General features: G+C 37.0%; 2 long non-coding RNA genes and 1 other non-coding gene across 3 annotated transcripts in view, besides 1 other annotated feature; 2 read left to right on the forward strand and 1 right to left on the reverse strand.

Annotated features, from left to right (window-relative positions):
• The window catches only part of LINC00240 (long intergenic non-protein coding RNA 240), a 66,982-nt gene extending 55,595 nt beyond the window's left edge, over positions 1-11,387 (forward strand). Inside the window, exon 3 of the long non-coding RNA NR_026775.2 lies at positions 10,667-11,387. This is a non-coding gene — a long non-coding RNA (long intergenic non-protein coding RNA 240). The remainder of the gene's footprint in view (positions 1-10,666) is intronic.
• LARRPM (LINC00240 antisense RNA regulating promoter methylation) lies at positions 6,779-7,719 on the reverse strand. Its single transcript, NR_026776.1, has one exon. It is a non-coding gene; the product is annotated as an LINC00240 antisense RNA regulating promoter methylation (long non-coding RNA).
• Positions 7,464-7,723: an enhancer, noted in NCBI's record as "active region_24256". NCBI's record gives its function as "activates an Ori minimal core promoter by ATAC-STARR-seq in GM12878 lymphoblastoid cells {active_cell/tissue: GM12878}" and the evidence as "EXISTENCE:reporter gene assay evidence [ECO:0000049][PMID:35858748]".
• On the forward strand, positions 7,759-7,852 carry TRI-TAT2-2 (tRNA-Ile (anticodon TAT) 2-2). Its single transcript has 2 exons — positions 7,759-7,796; positions 7,817-7,852. It is a non-coding gene; the product is annotated as a tRNA-Ile (tRNA).
• Positions 11,388-20,365: the final 8,978 nt, after the last annotated feature.

Below are 20,365 nucleotides of genomic sequence, written 5' to 3' on the forward strand. Positions count from 1 at the left end.
GGTATTCAATTAGGAAAAGAGGAAGTCAAATTGTCCCTGTTTGCAGATGACATGATTGTGTGTTTAGAAAACCCCATCATCTCAGCCCACAATCTCCTTAAGCTGATAAGCAACTTCAGCAAAGTCTCAGGATACAAAATCAATGTGCAAAAATCACAAGCATTCCTATACACCAATAACAGACAGAGAGCCAAATCATGACTGAACTCCCATTAACAATTGCTTCAAAGAGAATAAAATACCTAGGAATCCAACTTACAAGGGATGTAGAAGACCCCTTCAAGGAGAACTACAAACCACTGCTCAACGAAATAAAAGAGGACACAAACAAATGGAAGAACACTCCATGCTCATGGACAGGAAGAATCAATATCATGAAAATGGCCATACTACCCAAGGTAATTTATAGATTCAATGCCATCCCCATCAAGCTACCAATGACCTTCTTCACAGAATTGGAGAAAATTACTTTAAAGCTCATATGGAACCAAAAAAGAGCCTGCATTGCCAAGACAATCCTAAGCAAAAAAAGACAAAGCTGGAGGCATCACGCTACCTGACTTCAAACTATACTACAAGGCTACAGTAATCAAAACAGCTTGGTTCTGGTACCAAAACAGAGATATAGACCAATGGAACAGAATACAGCACTCAGAAATAATACCACACATCTACAACCATCTGATCTTTCACAAACCTCACAAAAACAAGAAATGGGGAAAGGATTCCCTATTTAATAAATGGTGCTGGGAAAACTGGCTAGCCATATGTAGAAAGCTGAAACTTGACCCTTTCCTTACACCTTATACAAAAATTAATTCAAGATGGATTAAAGACTTAAATGTTAGACCTAAAACCATAAAAACCCTAGAAGAAAACCTAGGCATTACCATTCAGGACATAGGCATGGGCAAGGACTTCATGTCTAAAACACCAAAAGCAATGGCAACAAAAGCCAAAATTGACAAATGGGATCTAATTAAACTAAAGAGCTTCTGCACAGCAAAAGAAACTACCATCAGAGTGAACAGGCAATCTACAGAATGGGAGAAAATTTTTGCAATCTACCCATCTGACGAAGGGCTATTATCCAGAATCTACAAAGAACTTAAACAAATTTACAAGAAAAAAAAAATCAAACAACCCCATCAAAAAGTGGGTGAAGGATATGAACAGACACTTCTCAAAAGAAGACATTTACGCAGCCAACAGACACACGAAAAAATGCTCACCATCACTGGCCATCAGAGAAATGCAAATCAAAACCACAATGAGATACCATCTCACACCAGTTAGAATGGTGATCATTAAAAAGTCAGGAAACAACAGGTGTGGAGAGGATGTGGAGAAATAGGAACACTTTTACACTGTTGGTAGGAGTGTAAACTAGTTCAACCATTGTGGAAGGCAGTGTGGCGATTCCTCAAAGATCTATAACTAGAAACACTATTTGACCCAGCGATCCCATTACTGGGTATAAACCAGGATTAAAAATAATGCTACTATAAAGACACATGCACAGGTATGTTTATTGCAGCACTATTCATAATAGCAAAGACTTGGAACCAACCCAAATGTCCATCAGTGATAGACTGGATTAAGAAAATGTGGCAAATATACACCATGGAATACTATGCAGCCATAAAAAAGGATGAGTTCATGTCCTTTGTAGGGACATGGATGAAGCTGGAAACCATCATTCTGAGCAAACTATCGCAAGGACAGAAAACCAAACACCGTGTGTTCTCACTCATAGGTGGGAATTGAACAATGAGAACACTTGGACACAGAATGGGGAACATCACACACTGGGGCCTGTCATGAGGCTGGGGGAGGGGGAGGGATAGCATTAGGAGAAATACCTAATGTAAATGATGAGTTGACAGATGCAGCACACCAACATGGCACATGTATACATATGTAACAAACCTGCATGTTGTGCACATGTACCCTAGAACTTAAAGTATAATAAAAAGAGAGAAAGAAAACTCTTATGAAACAATAAAAAATGATGGACAATCCAAAAAAAAAAAAAAAGATGTTCACTGGGGTCAAGAGATAAATTCATGAACAGAATGAGAATTTCAACAAAGAGATTTAAAAATTAAATAGTAACAAACAGAAATCACAGCACTAAAGTATACAATAACGGAACTAAAAAATTCAATAGCAGGGTTCAACAGCAGACTAGATCTAGCAGAAGAAAAGGATCAGTGAACTTGAAGACAGGTCATTAGAAATCATACAATCAGAGGGAAAAAAAGAAAAATTGAAAGAGTCAACATAGCTTAAGGGACTTATGAGACACCAGCAAGTTGACCAACTGACAGCAATACAATAGTAATAGATTTCAATACCCCACTTTGAATAATGGATAGAACATGTGGCATGTAGACAGAAAAATCAATAAACAGCTAACTTGGAAAGCACTATAGACCAAATAGACCTAACAGACATATTTAGAACTTTTCACTCAATAGCAGAAGCACACATGGAACATTCTCCAGGATAGATCATATGTTAAGTCACAAAACAAGTCTTAACAAATTCAAAAAGATAGAAATCGTACCAAGTGCCTTTTCCAACCACAATGGAATGAAGCCAGAAATCATTAACAGCAAGAAAATGGGAAAATTTACAAACACATAGAAACTAAATAACATAATCTTGAACAACCACTGGGCTCAGTAGGAGATCAAAACAAAATTAAAAAAAAAAACTCCAGACAAATAAAAATGAAAATACAACTTATCAAAACTTATCAGATATAGCAAAAGCAATACTAAGAGGGACGTTTATAGTGACAAATACCACATAACAAAACAAGAAAGCTCTTAAATAAATAAACTAGATTTCACGGGACTAGAAAGAAGAACAAACTAAACGCAAAGTTAGCAGAAGAAAGAAAATAATAAAGATTAGTACAGAAATAAATCAGAGACTAGAAAACAATAGAAAAATAATAAACAAAACCAAGAGTTTTTTTTAATACAAACAAAATTGACAAACCCTTAGCTAGATAACTAAGGAAAAAAAGAGAAACTCATAAATAAAATAAAAAAATGAAAGAGGGCATTACAACAGATGCCTCAGAAACAGAAAAGATCATAAGGGATTATTATGAACAATTATATGTCAACCAATTAAATAACCTAGAGTGAATGGATGAATTCCTAGAATAAATAGCTTACCAAGACTGAATCAAGAATACAAAGCCTAAACATTTTAATAACAGATATGGAGATTGAAGTAATAATAATTTAAAAACCTCCTGTCATAGTCTGTTTTGTGTTGCTATAACAGAATACTTGAGGGTGAGTAATTTATTTTAAGACAAAAAAAGAGGTTTATATAGCTCAGTTTGGCAGGCTGGGAAGTCCAAAATCAAGCATCCCATCTGCCTTGTGCTGCTTCAACTAATGGTGGAAAGCAGAAAAAATGGGGAATGGGTGTGTACAAAGAGATGAAACACAAGAAGCAGCCTCACTTTATAATAACCTGCTCTCATGATAACTGAGACTGCATTAAACCCTTCATGACTGCATTAATCGCTTCATGATCCAAATGCCTTTTAAAAGTCCCACCTTTTAGCACCATTACATTGGCAATTAAATTTGAGTGTGAGTTTTTGTGGGGACAAACTACATACAAACCATATAGCACCTCTCAAAAAAGAAAAGTCCAAGACCAGATGGCTTCACAGCTGAGCACATATATCTAACATATATTTAAAGAAAAATTAATACCAATCCTTCTTAAACCCTTCCAAAAATAGAAGTAGAGATAATATTTCCAAACTCATTTTATGAGGCTAGCTAGCATCACTCTGATATCAAGGCCAGACAAAGATTCCACAAGAAAACTAAACTACAGGCCAATATCTCTGGGTGAACATAGATGCAAAATTCCTCAATAAAATCATAGCAAACTGAATTTAAAACACATCAAAAAGACTATACACTGTGACCAGGTGGGGTTTACCCCTGGGATACAAGGGTGGCTTAAAATACCCAAATCAATCAATGCAATATATCACATTAACAGAGTGAAAGATAAAAATCACATCATCATAGATGCAGAAAAAGCATTTGACAAAATTCAACATCCACTCAAGATAAAAACTCTCAACAAAATAGGTATAGAAGAAAACTACCTCAACACAATGAGGGCCATTTATTAATATCCCACAACTAACATCATAATCAATAGAGAAAAACTAAAAGCTTTTCCTCTAAGATCTGGTGCAAGGTATAGATTACCACTATCTCCATTTCTATTTAACATAGCACTGGAAGTACTAGCAAAAGCAATTGGACAAGAAAAAGAAATAAAAGGCATCCAAATTGTAAAAGAAGAAGTAAAACTGTTTGCAGATGGCATGAGTCTATACGTAGAAATTTCTAAAAACTCCACCCAAAAAGCTATTAAAATTAATAATTAAATAAAGTTGTAGGATATAAAATTAACATACAAAAGTCAGGTGTGTTTCTTTACACAAACAACAATCTATCTAAAAAGAAAGTTTTACAAATATCTACTACGATTGGTACAAAAATTTAAATACTTAGGAATAAATGTAACCAAGGAGGTAAGAGATTTGTACACTGAAAACTATAAAACATTGATGAATGAAACTGAAGAAGACAAAGTAAATGAAAAGGTTTATGGATCAAAATAATTAATATTGTTAAAATGTCCATAATACTCAAAGCAATATACAGATTCAACACAATATCAAAATTCCAATATTTTTCACAGAAATAAAAACATTCTAAGATTGCATAAAACCACAAAAGACCTTAAATAGCCAGGGCAATCTTGAGAAAGAAGAACAAAGTTGGAGGCATCACACTACCTGACTTCAAAATATACTATACAAAGCCATACAATCAAAACAGCACGGCACTGACATGAAAACAGACACATAGACCGATGGAACAAAATAGAGAGCCCAGAAATAAATCTACACATTTAGAGTCAACTGATTTTTGACAAGCGTGACAAAAATACACATTGGGGAAAAGACAGCCTCTTCAATAAATGGTGTTGGGAAAACTGGGAACCCACATACAAAATAAAAAAATTACACCCTTATCTTACACCTTACATAAAATTCAACTCGAAATAGGTTAAAGACTTAAACAGAAGACCTGAAATTGTAAAACTCCTAGAAGAAAATGTAAGGGAAAACCTCCTTGACACTGGCCTTTGTAATGATTTCTTGGACAGGACACCAAAAGCTCAGGAAACAAAAGCAAAAGTAAACAAGTGAGACTACATCAAACGAAAAATCTGCACAGAGAAGAAAACAATGGGCAAAACGAAAAGGCAACTATTGGTTGGGAGAAAATATTTGTAAACCATGTATCTGATAAGGAGTTAATATCCAAAATATATAAGGTATATATATATATACACATACAACTCAATAGCAAGAAAACCAAATCTAATTAAAAAATAGGTAAAGAACCTGAACAGATATTTTCCCAAGGATGACATAAAAAATGGCCAATAGAAAAAATGCTCAACATCTCTAATCATCATGGAAATGCAAATCAAACCCACAATGAGACATCATCTCAGACCTGTTAGAATAACCAATTTAAAAATATAAAAAATAACAAGTGTTGGCAATGTAGAGAAAAGGGAACCCTTTTACATTATGAGTGGGAATGCAAATTAGTACCGCCTTTATGGAAAACAGCAGTATGGCTGTTCCTCAGAAAATTACAAATAGAACTACCACATGATCCAGCAGTACCTTTTCTGGGTATATACTGTGAAAGTAAAATATCTTGCACCCCCAAAATCACTAGCTAAAAGGAAAATTCAAGCTGGAAACTGCTCAGTGCAAACTTGCCTCCCATTCTATTCAAAGTCATCCCTCTGCTCACTGAGATAGATGCATACTCTGATTGCCTCCTTTGGAAAGGTTTATCAGAAACTCAAAAGTAAGACCTGGCAGCCCCCTCCCTGCTTTGTCCCCGCCTTTCTGGATGGAACCAATGTACTTCTTACATATATTGACTGATGTCTCATGTGTCCCTAAAATGTATAAAACTAAGCTGTGCCCCGATTACCTTGGGCACAGGTAGTCAGAACTCCCTGAGGCTGTGTCACAGGGGTGTGTCCTCAACCTTCGCAAAATAAACTTTCTAAATTAACTGAAACGTGTCTCAAATTTTCGGTGTTCACATCCGCAAAGGAAATGAAATCAGGATCTCGAAGCAATAACTGCATGCCCATCTTCATTGAAACATTATTCACAATAACTAAGATATGGAATCGACCTAAGTGGCTGTCCACCAATGAATGGATAAAGCACATATAGTTTATACACACAATAGAATATTATTCATCCTTAATAAAGAAGATCCTGCTGTTTGCAACATGGATGAACCTCGATGTCATTATGCTAAGTGAAACAAGCCAGACACAGCAAGAAAAATACTGCATGATCTCTTATGTGGATTCTAAAAAAGTCAAATACATAGAAGCAGAGTAGAACAGTGGTTACCAGGGGTGGAGACGTATGGAAATGGTTAAGATGTTGGTCAAAGGATACAAAGTTGCAGTTCTATAGGATGAATAAGTCTAGAGATGTAATGCATAGCATAACTATAGTTAATACTGCATTGTGCATTGGAAACTTGCGGAGAGTACATTTCATGCGCTCTCACCACTTACACAAAATAGTAACTGTGAAGAGATGTATTATGTTAATTAGCTTGACTGTAGAAATCATTTCACTGTGTACATGTATCAAAACATCATGTTGTACACCTTAAATATATAGTTTTTATTTTTAAAACACTGTTTGGGATTAAAAGCCCAGCTAATTCTGCCTTAATATCTCATTCTTATCCACAATGTCCACCCATAAGAAAGACGCCCGATACTCCGTGTAAACACACACTCCCCATCTCCCATACAAATTTACCTTCTAGAGAGAGCCCTTTTCCCCAAACTCTCCTCTCAAAACACTCTGAAGCACAAGGTCTTTAGCCTAGTTAGACATTTTCTGAAAAACTTAGTTTAACTCAGCGTAGAGACACCATGAATTTCAGAGACCCAGTCCTGGGCCTGCTTCAGTTGCTTTAGCCTAGAGTTTCAACTCCCAGGTCCCGGGGAGGGATGCTCCAAGGAAGAAATAGAGGCCCTATTCCAGGGCTGTTTCTCGCAGACTAGCCACAGAAAATGCAGCCCAGCGCCACTTCCTTTCAGTAGCAACACGTTTCCAACACGTTTGTTAAGCGGGAACGGAAGTGAGCGGAAAGGAATGCGTTTGGTAAATCCCACTTTAAGGATTTCGTAATCCTCCCAGGGATTCCCACCACCCGCACTCCACTCGCAGACTGCGGGCCTTCCTCCGACGCTGGGAGAAGGACCCTGGGAGAGGCAAGGGAAGGGCTCCGGAACCAGCGCAGCAGCGGGACGCTAGCCCGCCCACACGGCGGCCACTTGAAGGTCCTCCAGGGAACACCTGAGGCAGTGGGAGCGTCTGCCCTTTCCTAAGTCTCCTTGGAAAGAAGTATTCGCTTTCGTTTCCGCAAACAAAGCATGCTCCGCGCTTTCAGGACCGGTGGCTCCCGTGGAGACCGCAGCGGAACCCAGTCCGCCTTCGCACGCGTCCGGGGGAGAAGCGGCCCCAGGACTAAGGGCGCGCGCCCGAGGAACCGGTGCTGTGACGACCAGAGCAAACACGCCGGATGTTCCTGTGTAGGCTGTGTAAGGAGTGACCGGAAGTAGAAACTGGGTGCTCCAGTGGCGCAATCGGTTAGCGCGCGGTACTTATATGGCAGTATGTGTGCGAGTGATGCCGAGGTTGTGAGTTCGAGCCTCACCTGGAGCATTGTTTTCCAACCCAAAATAGCATTACTTGAAGTGCCTTTCCCCCTGTAATCCGACTCCATCGTCTTTAACGTGTTTGGAATTGTGTACACAGTTTATTGTTATTGGTTTCCTTAGCCTTTTTAGAACCAAGCAACGCCAATTACCAACAAAATCCGTTGCGCCGCAGTGAGTTAGCTACCTTCTATCTCCACTTTGTTCTGCACGTCGATCTCAGGTAAAGAACATCATCTCTTTACATCCTTCTTTCCACTTTGTTCTTAGGATCATCGATCATCGTTCCTCGGGGAGCCCCTGGCACATACTTAGTGCTAAGAAACTCCCATCAGGTGATAAGCATTGAACTCCATTTAAGGAAACTCAAAAGTGGGAAATAGTAAAAGGTTCCTGTCTGATTAAAGCTCTGATTGGGAGGGGTGTGGGGGGACTGATTTCTGACAACAGTGTCCCCTCCAGTATTTTTCCCCCACTTAATTTTACCCTGATAAAAATCAACAGTCATGGAAGATCTAGCAGCTTCTATCAACTGAGAAACAGCACCTGGTGTCCTCAGGCATTCAATTACCTGGACTTGGAAAAGGATGAGTGATAATAGACCCAGAAACCTGAAATCTTTAGAACAGCATTACAAGAATAAGCATATTGTTGTGGCTGAGGTGGGTAGGAAGTAGATAGGGATTTTGACTTTAAAATAGGCTTCCTCTCCCTATGACACCTGCAGTTTGCCTGGACATAGCTTTTATCATATGCTTCCCAACTCTTCAGCAAGAGAGGGAATTGAACTGAGTAATTGGGAGTTGTTTTCCTAGCTATAAAGATTGCCACAAATCTGAAAGCACATGTGTCCCACTTGGGACACGGAGGTGAGTGGAATTAAGCTGAGCACAGATAACTCTCTCTTGAGATCTGTATTCCTAAATGGGTCTTGCATGTATCTGGACATTGTCCACTCACAGACTCTCTCCTGAGAAAGGTTAGCGAGGTCCCGTTCAGGAATGCACCAGATGATAATAAAGTGAACACCTTCTCACTTTGTAGCTCTTGCTAAGCCACTGGAGTACCTTAAAAGCTATCAAAGCATAATCTTCAAATATATATATAGTAACTAATCACCAAATATTTATTTAAGTCACTAATGAGAAAAGGAGGAGTATGGTAAACTGATTGCAATGGCAATAGAAAAGGCTGGTAAAGGTATAGTCAGTGGGGGAAAAATAATGCTGACATGAGATTGCAAGTTTAAGTAAAAAACTAGCTAATGTCCTATGAGGCAGTGAAAACTATGGCCTTTGGGATTATTTTTATCTAAAAGACAGAAACTAGTTGCATCTTTACTGGGTAAAAATCATTCAAAACTTAATATTCTACATAATGACATTTAACCTTGTAATCTATTTTCTAATCATTAGTAAATAGTGACCTCCAAAAGTTCCATTAACTTAGAGGATTACTTGCCCCTTCAGTGGGCTTGTTAGACAATGCTCTAGTATTATTTTGAAAGAGTACTAATATCTTTTTTTTTTGCCTTATATTAACTTTTGGATATTTTTTCTGAATAGATTTAGCACCTTAATTCAATTATTTTATCTCTGTTCCTGATCAGTTGAAGGTATTATTGAGTGTCTTCAGACAGTGTTTAAAAAATGGTGACCTTTGCCATAAAGAATTTTTGTGAACTGGCTTAAGCCAGTTTTGTGATACACAACTTTGGGTGCTTTTGGTAGATGTCTGTAGGCAGCTTACTTTATAGTACTTTATACTATACCTTACTTTATAGTATAAAGTAAGGGATAGTTAGCTACAACATACCAACGAGTTATAGTGATAGAAGATCTTCAACAAAATTTTGTACATATATAGTCATTTATTAGAAAGCAAGCAAAAAACAGTCATAAAACCTGTTCTCTAAGCTCAATGAAGTTCCCACGGTTTTGTCATTTGTTTTTGTTGTTGTCATTGTTGTTTTACTAACTTCAAAACTACCTTTCATGAAAGCTTTGCTTGAGGCAAATGCAACAATATTTCAGAGTGAGGATTCAGCCAAACATCTCTAAGAAGAAAACCTCTGGACACAGCAGGACACAGAAATACTGAAATCTCCAGCCTAGGGCACCATCCCTCAAGTTAAAGGCTAGAACTCATTTAATTTTTATTCCCTTTGAACAGTGTCTCTTAAATATTTAATTCATTTTGGGAACCGCTAATTTACCCAGGGAGACTATATTTCTAATATTTTTTTCCCTTCACACCATGGGATCTTTGTTTCTAATATATTAATTAACTAATTAACAAGGACAAATTTCATCAAAGAAAACCAGTATCCAATATTCCATTATACTAATTATGGCAGCCTCTGGTGTTTATCAAAAATAAAGAAAACTGAAGTACTTTTGGTGGCCACTTCAGCAGTGTGGTTTTATTATGTTAAATGACAATCCTCCAGATTGTGATATCAGGGCAAGGGACTGACTCTAGAATCATTTAAAATCATTTTAATATACACATTCGTATTATACAGCACAGTTGATTAAATTATTGCTCCTTCTCTATATCCACACCCTTTTTGTGGGTGGAGAGTTTGTCTTCACTTGTGGTAGACTGGATTCCTGAAAATGACTGAAACAGTATCCCTCGTTCCCTTCTGCAATGTGAGCTTGGCACCTCCTCAGCTAGAAGTAGAGTCTGTTTCCCTTCACCTTGAATTTGGTTTGGGTTTGTAACTACTGTGAGCAATGGAATGCAGTAAAAATAACATTTTGTGATTTCTCAGCCCAGGCAGTAAGAAAACATATCAGCTTCCACTTTTACCTTTAAGGAGAAGCCAGCTCCCATGTTAAGAAGTTCAAATACCTAGAGACTGCGATGGTTTGCAGAGGCTCAAGCTAACCACATGGAAAGACATGGAGAGATATTCCTTGCCAACCCTCAACTACTCCAACTATTCTAAGACATCAAACCTGTGAGTGAAAAAGCCATCTCATACCTTACAACTCTAGCAGATGCCACATAGTGTAGAGATAAGCTCTCTCTGTCATTCTCTGTCAAAATTGTAAAATCATAAGCAAATAAATAATCACAGTTGCTTCAAGTTACTACATTTGAGCATAGTATTTTAAGCCACTGCATTTGAGATGGTTTGTTATACAGCAATAGATAACTAAAAAACAAAGTCCCTTGATTTAGACTTGTCCACTCAACTTGCTTGGCCAATGGAATGGGGTAGAAGTGATGGTGTGCTTATTCCCAGCCTGGGCCTTAAAAGGCTTTGCCTATTTCCACTTGCCTTCTTGTACTTCTGCTATTGTCATAAGAAAAACAAACCGCAGGTCACCCACCGGTCTGAAGAGGAGGATGAGAGACAAAGAAAAAAGTTGTCTGGCTGCCTCTGCTGTCTACAGATTGAAGAAGATCCATCCAGCTGAGCCCAGCCTAGACCAGCTGACTTCTCCAATAAGCCTGTATGAAATAAATGCTTATTGTTATGTGACCTTGAGCTTTGAAGATAGTTTGTTATGCAATAATTGTTGATTCTTTCACCCTGTCTTTGTTGAACTGTTATAGACGTCTTAATAGGAGTTCACAATTCAGTTATTCCGGCATGATCACAAACTCATTAGGAATAGAACAGAGAATATGAAAAGCATCTATTTTAGTTCATTTTGTGTTGCTATAACAAAATACCTAAGACTGGGAAGTTTATAATGAACATAAATTTATTGGCTCATGGTCTTGGAAGCAAGGAAGTTCAAAATCAAGGGACTAGCATCTGGCGAGAGACTTCTTGTTGCCTCACCTTATGGCAGAAGGTCAAAGAGTGGGTGGTGGGGGGCAGGGGAGAGAACAAGAGGGGGCAGAACTCTTCATTTTATAAGAAACTCAGTCCTAAAATAATGGCATTAATCCACTCATGAGGGTGGAGCCCTCATAATTTAAACACTTTTTAAAGATCCCACTTTCCAATACTGCCCCACTGGGGATCAAGTTTCCAACACACCAACATCACTTTATCCATATTTTCCCATCAATATTTACCCTACCCTTTCTGGAGAATAAAAGGGAAGCAAGCAAATTTCATGTCCTTTGCAAAATTGTGGTCTGTAACCTCAAAGCCTATGGGTAACCTTAGGCCTAATAACTCCCTCATCCACCCAGGGTGTTTTTGCATAATTTCCCCTATCTCCTTAATAGCCAAACTCCATGATAATGCTTCATTCTCAGCAGATAATCTTACCTTTTACTTCACAAAGAATCTAGAACCTCCTCTGATTTACATTATTCCCCTCTTCTTTACATACATTTATAATTCATCAGCATCAGTTACGAGCTTTATTGCTTGCCTGATTTTTTAGAGATGTCTCTCTGCTCATTAAAGACTAAACTCTTCATCTGCACCTCCAAATGCCAACTCCCCATGATGACTTAACCTTAAAATAAAATATGTATAAACACACAGTCTGTCCTCTTTGAATGGACATACACACTCACACTCTGCATGATCCAAAGATCTACACGTCTACTCTCAAGAGACTGCTCTTTTTTACTCCTTCCCTTCAACATGTACTTCCAGAAAGAGAAACCTAAGTGAATGCCTTTCCTTTCCTTACAGTCTTCAACCCACTGCAATCTGGCATCCACCCATCATTTTACCAACTGCTTTGTTAAGGCTACTGAGATGACATCCTCACCAAGACATTTTTAGACTTTTTTTTCTAAATTGTACTCAACTGTATTTGATGGTTGACTAATCTTTTGTAGGTGAGATTTTACTCCTTGGTATCTCCAATTCTCCAGTTCTTTCAGCTCTCCCCTTTCCTTTGTAAATATGAGTTTTCCCCCCAAGATTCAGTCATTGGTCTGCTTTTTAATCTTAAGCTAAATTAAATCTATACTGATGAATTTCAGAGATATGTAACTTGCTAAAATTTTGTGTATTTCTTTTATGTATGTAAACCACTGCACAAGATTAAGAATCATGAATCTATATTACATAATATTCATTGTTTAAGTTACATTCTATACCAATATTCAGGAGAGCCATCTTCCTGTGCTCCAAATTCTTATTTCTGACTCACTTCTTGATATCTTCACTTGCACATTCCACATTGCATTACTAAGGGTTTTCCAGAGAAACAGAACCAACTAGAGATTTTATATATACGTATAGAGAGATAGGTAGATAAATAGATTGGCATTTATTTCAAGATAGTAGCTCACATGATTGTGGGAGCTGGCAAGTACAAAATCTGCAGGGTAGGCCAGCAGACTGAAGACTCAGGAAAGTGTTAATGTTGCAGCTTGAGCCTGAAGGCATCCTGGAAGCAGAATTCCCTCTTCCTCAGGAAACTCCAGTCTCTTTCTCGTAAGGCCTTCAGTTGGATTAGATGAAGCCCGCCCATGTTATAGAAGGTAATCTGCTTTACTTACAGTGTACTAATTCAAATGTTAATCTCATCTAAAACATGTGTTCACAGCAACATCTAGACTAGCATTTAACCAAATGTCTGGGTACCATATCCCAGCCAAGTTGAAGTGTAAAATGAACCATCACATACAGGTATTTCAAAATTAATATGTCTAAACTTTACCTATAATATTCTCCCTGAAACCTGCTCTTCTCCACTATTCATTTCCTCAGTAAATTACCACAGTCCTACCACTGAAGATGGAAACTTAGACCTTCCACAGCCCTCTTCCTTTATATTCAATTGTTCACTAAATTCTGTCATTCCTACTTTCTTCACTGAGGTTACTTTTTTTTTTTTCCCCAGAGGCAAGGTCTCACTCTGCCACCCAGGCTGGAGTTCAGGGGCACAATCATAGTTCACTATAACCCCCAACTCCTGGGCTCCCATGATCTTCCTGCCTCAGCCTCCCCAATGGCTAGGACTACAGAACTGTGCCACAGAGAGACGGAGTCTTGCTATGTTACCTAGGCTGGTCTTGAACTCATGGCCTCCAGTGATCCTCCTGCCTCAGCCTCTCAAAGTGCTGGAATTATAGGCATGAGACATCATGCCCAGTCTGAGTTTATCTTCTGCCATTCTTTTCTCCCTAGGTTTGTCACCACCATACATTCCTTCTTTCTGTTTTTCTAACACCCCAAGCTCATTCCTGCCTCAGGCCCTTTAGTGTTGGTATTCCCTGTGCTTTCAAGCCTTATCCTATTACAAAGGTGGTGCTAACATGTCAGAATTTTTTAATCATTTGAGTCATAGCTCAACTGTCGCCTCTTTAGAGAGGCCTTTACTGACTACTCCTTATTTTGTTAACAGCTGCATTGAGGTATAATTTACATAACATAAAATTCACTAATTTTAACTGTACAATTTAATGATTTTTAGTAAACTTACAGAGTAGTGCAATTATCAGTATGAGTCAGTTTTAGAACGCTTACATCTCCCCAAAAGAGAGATTTCCAACCTCTCCTTCATGCCCATTTACAGTCAATTTTACCTCCAACCCCAGGCAAGCTTTAATCTACTTTCTGTCTCTATAGATTTGCATTTTCTGGACATTTTGTGTAAATGAAATAAGTAATATGTGGTCTTTTGCATCTGGACACTTTCACTTAACATAATGTTCTTGAAGTTCATCAGTGTCGTAGCAGGTATCAGTAATTTGTTACTTTTTATTGCTAAGCAGTATTTCATTGTATGGATATACCCCTTTTACCTATCCATTTACCAGTTGATGGACATTTGGATTGCATCCATCCATATTTTGGCTTATATGAATAATACTGCTATGAACATTTGCATACAAATTTTTGTGTGACATGTTTTCATTTCTCTTGGATACCTGGGAATAGAATTGCAGAGTCATATGATAAATTTATGATTATCTTAAAGGAACTGTTTTCCAAATAGGCTGCTCCATTTTACATTTCCACGAGCACTAGATGAGGGTTCCAGCTTTTCCACATTCTCACCAACCTTGTTATTGTCTGTCTTGTGTTTTTTAAAAAATAGCCATGCAGGTGGGTATGAAGTGGTACTCATTGTGGTTGTGAACTGCATTGTCCTAATGACTAATGATGTTGAGATTTTTTTTCATGTGCTTAATACCCATTCATATGTCTTCTTTGGTGAGCTATTAGAATATTTTCCCAGTTTTAAATTAAGCTTTTTTCCTATTGAGTTATAAGAGTTCCCTATATATTCAGGATGCAAGTTCTTTATCAGATATATGATTTTTAAATGTTTTCCCTTAGTCTGTGGCATGGCTTTTCATTTTCTTAATGGTGCTTTTAAAAGTGCAAATGGTTTTAATTTTGATGAAGTCCATTTATCAATTTTTGGTTTTTTATGAATTGTGATTTTAGTATATATCTAAGACCTTTTTGCCTAATTTAGCATCATGATGATTTTCTCCTATTCTTTCTTCTAAATGTTTCATAAACTCTTATAGTTAGGTCTTCTATCCATTTTGAGTTAATGTTTTATGTGGTGTGAGTTAAGGGTCTAAATTTATCTTTTTTGTTGTTGTTGTTGCATGTGAATATCCAATTATCCCAGCAGTATTCGTTAAAACAAAACAAAACAAAACAAAACAACTGTTTTTATTTTGTTTTGTTTTTTTCCCAACTGCATTGGCAACTTTGTTGAAAATGAATGGAACACAAAGGTAAGAGTTTACTTCTAGACTCTCAATTCTGTTCCATTTATCTACCTTTATGCTAGGCTATACTGTCTTGATTCCCTCAGCAGATGATCTTCCATTTTAAAACCTGGAAGTTTAAGTTCTTAGCTTTTGTTCTTCTTTTTGCAAGCTGCTTCCACTCTTCTGGATCCTCCACAGTTTTAAGTAAATTTTAAGATACACTTGCCAGTTTTTGCAGGATTTCTATAAGAATTGCATTGAATCTATATGGTAATTTAAGAATTGCCACCTTAACAATATGGGTCATACTGAGTCTTTTAATCCGTGTTCATGTTCCATGAACATGGACTACCTCTTCATTTATTTAGATCTTTCATAATTTCTCTCAGCAATATTTTATAGTTTCCAGCAAAGGGCTTTATACATATTTTGTTATATTCATTCTTAAGAATTATATTCTTTTTAATGCTATTGTGAATAGAATTGTTTTCTTAATTTCATTTTTAGGTTGTTCATTGATAGTATATAGAAATACAGTTGATTTTTAGATATCAATCTTGTATCCTTCAACCTTGCTAAAACTATTTTATTTGTTCAATGTATGTGTGTGTGCATGTGTGAGTGTGTGTGTATGTGTGTATTTCCTGAAATTTTTGGAATATAGGATCATGTCATCTGTGAATATAGATGATTTAATTTCTTTCTCTCAAGTAAGTATGCTTTCATTTCTTTTTCTCTCCTGATTGTACAAGCTAGAATATACAGTGCAATAGTGAACAAAAGTGGCAAGAGGAGACATACTTGATTTGTTCTCAGTCTTAGGGAGAAAGCATTCAGTCTCTTATTATTAAGTATGACATTAACTTCAGGTTTTTCATAAAAGCCCTTTATTAGGTTATAGAATGTCCTTATATTCCAAGTTTAATGAGATTTTTTACAAGGAATAGGGATTGGATTTTGCTAAGTGCTTTGTATCTGTTGAGATGATCAGTGATTTTTTTTAGCTTTCTATTAATATGGTGCTTTATTTTCAGATATTAAACCAAATTTACATTCCTGAAATAAATTCCACTTAATCATGTTCCACTTAATCATGGTGTATAATACTTTTTATATATTTCTGGATTTTGTTAATGTTCAGTTGATGGTTACTGCGCTTATCTTCATGAAGAATATTAGCCTGTAGTTTTTTTTTTAATTAGGTCTTTGTGGCTTTTCCATATATATATGTGTGTGTGTGTGTGTATATGTGTATATATATGTGCGTATATATGTGTATATATGTGCGTATATATGTGTGTATATATACACACATATGTGTGTATATAATACATATATGTGTATATATACGTGTGTGTATATATATACATATACACACATATATGTATATATATACGTGTGTGTGTGTGTGTGTGTGTGTGTGTATATATATATATATATATATATATATATATATATATATATATTTGTTTGTTTGAGACAGAGTCTCACTCTGTCACCCAGGCTGGAGTGCAGTGGCGCAATCTCGGCTCACTGCAAGCTCCGCCTCCTGGGCTCAAATGATTCTTCTGCCTCAGCCTCCTGAGTAGCTGGGATTACAAGTGTCTGCCACCACGCCCAGATCGTTTTTGTGTGTTTTAGTAGAGATGGGCTTTCACCGTGTTGGCCAAGCTGATTTCTAACTCCTGACCTCAGGTGATCCACCCGCTTTGGCCTCCCAAAGTGCTGGGATTACAGGCATGAGCCAATGTGCCCAGCCAGCTTTTCCATATTTAATATAAATATTTTGTATTCTAAATGCATAAATATATGAATATTTATGGATTTCCTATTGCCACTCTTTCTCTTCACTTTTACTCTGGCTTCTCTATTTCCTTGTGTATTTTGAATTTTTGAATGTGAGCATCTACCATTGCACCGTATCTGTGGAAATTCTCTAATACCTGGGTTGAAGTTTCATGCTTCAAAAAGGATTTTCTTTGCTTAAGGTATTGTAGACCATATAAAAAATAAAAATAAAACAAAATTTAAAATAAAAAACAAAAATCATGAAATCATATTAAGGCCAGTGTATTAGTTTACTAGGGTTGCCATAACAAAGTACCACAGTCTGGGTGGCTTAAACAATAGAAATTATTTTCTCACAATTCTGGAGGCTAGAAGTCTGGGATCAGGATTGGTTTCTTTTCAAGCTTCTCTCTGATTTATAGATGGTTGTCCCCTCCTTCCTGTATCTTCATGTGGTTTTCCCTCTTTGGGTGTCTGTGTCCTAATCTCTTTTATAAGGGGACATCATTTATATTGGATCAGAACCCATCTTAATAACCTCATTTTGCCTTAATTACTTTTTTTTTGAGTCGGAGTCTTGCTGTGTCACCCAGGCTGTAGTGCAGTGGTATGATCTCTGCTCACTGCAACCTCCGCCTCCCGGGTTCAAGCAATTCTCCTGCCTCAGCCTCCCAAGTAGCTGGGATTGCAGGCCCCCACACCATGCCCAGCTAATGTTTTGTGTGTTTTAGTAGAGATGGGGTTTCACCATGTTGGCCAGGCTGGTCTTGAACTCCTGACCTAAGATGATCCTCCCGCCTCGGCCTCCCAAAGTGCTGGGATTACAGGCATGAAGCACCACATCCAGCCCTTAATTACCTCTTTAAAGACCCTACCTATCTCCAAGTATAGTCACATTCTGAGGTACTGGGCATTAGGACTTCAACATGTGAATTTTGGGGAACATAATTCAGCCTGTAATAACTAGCTTATGCATACAAAAACTTACGGGGGAGATTTTTCTTCTCAAACAAGCAAATGAGTCAAGATAAGAAAGTTTCCTTTATATCCCCTTCTGTACAATAGGTTATCTTTATTCATTCTTATTCTACAATAATATCCCTTTGAAGTTGCAGATTTTTGTGGGATTCCCCTTTAAATTCTCTTTCTTTAGTGTTCCCTAATTTATCTTTATTCAACTATACACTATGTAGTTCCCAAAGCACAGACTTCAGGGGACTACAGTGTTAGGTAGAAACCTTCAGGGTAACACTTGTCTTTTGCCCTCATTTTCTTCCAAACTTTCTGATTTTACCTCTTTTGTGGGTCTTAAGGATTATCCCTTCTATACAAAGCCAAAAATGTATGCAAAAATACTTACATTTTTATCCAAAATTAGGCTGTTTCAATTTGGGGATTGTATACAGTATTTATTCCACAAAACATCAAGAAATATCTAAACTTATAAAAGAATTTCATTTAATTTAACCCAAAATTTTGGTTAGCACAATATAGAGGATGGTAAAGAGGATATAATCCATCTCATTGCAAGCACAGAAATACTAATTCTTATTGTTTTCATAGAATCCTGAAATAAGCATCTAATGCAGGCTTCCCTACCAATCTGGAGAATAAGTAGGGAATTCCCTCAATGACTCATAATTGTTCATTTGACTGTCTATCATTGCTCACATTGCAATTCCTGAGCCTCCACAGGCATTGAGATGTGACTACATGCTTTCCGCTTATCAGTACTCTCTTATTCTCACACTTCAGATTGCTGTTATGTTTTCCATCTCACTCTATTAGATGCATCTGCTCTCTGTTTTCAAAAAAATTACTAAAATATTTTACCTACCCTACTGCTATTCCATTATCCTTACCTTTTACTGCTGATTGCTTTTTAGTTCCATTACTACCATTTTAATGTGGATTATGAGGGGAAAAAAAGGAATAAATAAGTTTTTAGCCTTCTTCAACTGACAGGCCTTTAATTTTATAGACTAAAAGTAATAGTGGATAAAATTTAGTAATAAACTTAAAGAATATTATTTTTAAAGTATTTTTTGTAAATAATCAGGGCACATGTATTATTATATTGAAATTTTCCTAAGGTTGCAGTTTGAGTTTAACACGAAGAATAGTGCGGAATTACACTATTCTTCATATACAGAAACAAAAGTGAGACCTTTTATGTATTTTCTTTCCTGTCAGCATTATCTTGATTCATAAAGATGAAAAAGTCTGCATTTATGTCTTTTCTTATGGTTGTTTTCTGCCACAAATTCATGATATGCTTCATGCCAAGGGTCACACCTATCTTTGCCCGAATTTATGAAGAATTGATCATAGTGTCATTAGAAGCAATGTCATATCATTGTGGAACAACTATCCTTTCCTCAAGGAAATTATTGTCCTAAGAGATTGAAAATTAAACTAATAAAATGCAGGGTTATTTATTATTGCTATAGTGCTCTGACTAAAGAATGTTGGCTGGGAATGTTTTATGAGCACTGAGATACTGGCCTAAAGTCAGTAATTTCCATCTGATACTGACATTCCTTCAATGTCCAGACAGCACAGTGCCCAGAAACCCCAGGTCTACCCCAACTGTGCCAAAAGAAGTAGTACCCTGTAGAAGTAGTAGAAAACCGTAACATCACAATGCCTGCTCAGCCCTGAGGATTCAAGTCCATGTCAATACTTCACTTGCTCCTGTCTTAACTCACGCAACATTCCCCAACTCACCTCATACCTTCCTGTCTACACACACCTTCATCATGGCTTTTGATTTAAGTATTTATTGCAGCTAAGCTTCATTTCCTTATCCTTTGTGTCTAACCTGAGTCTGTATTAATGACTAAATAATTGATTCAGTATCATGATAGATCAGCCACTCTGCCAGACAATTTAGATTTTTTTTTTTTTTTTTTTTTTTTTTTTTTTTTTTTTTAGACAGAGCTCAGATAAAGAAAAGCTTTTGAGGACAGGTTTTTGTATTCCAGGAACACAGATGGAGAACAGTCTTTACCCTTGTATTTTCTCTCAAAGTCTTATTCATTCTGAAGTGAGTGATCAAATGGGAGTTATCCATCACATAGTTCTCCACGTAAACAGCTAGTTGCCTGATTAAATTATCTTGAGGAAA

This window comes from Homo sapiens, chromosome 6 (genome assembly GCF_000001405.40).
Source record: "Homo sapiens chromosome 6, GRCh38.p14 Primary Assembly".
NCBI classification, from domain to species: Eukaryota; Metazoa; Chordata; class Mammalia; order Primates; family Hominidae; genus Homo; species Homo sapiens.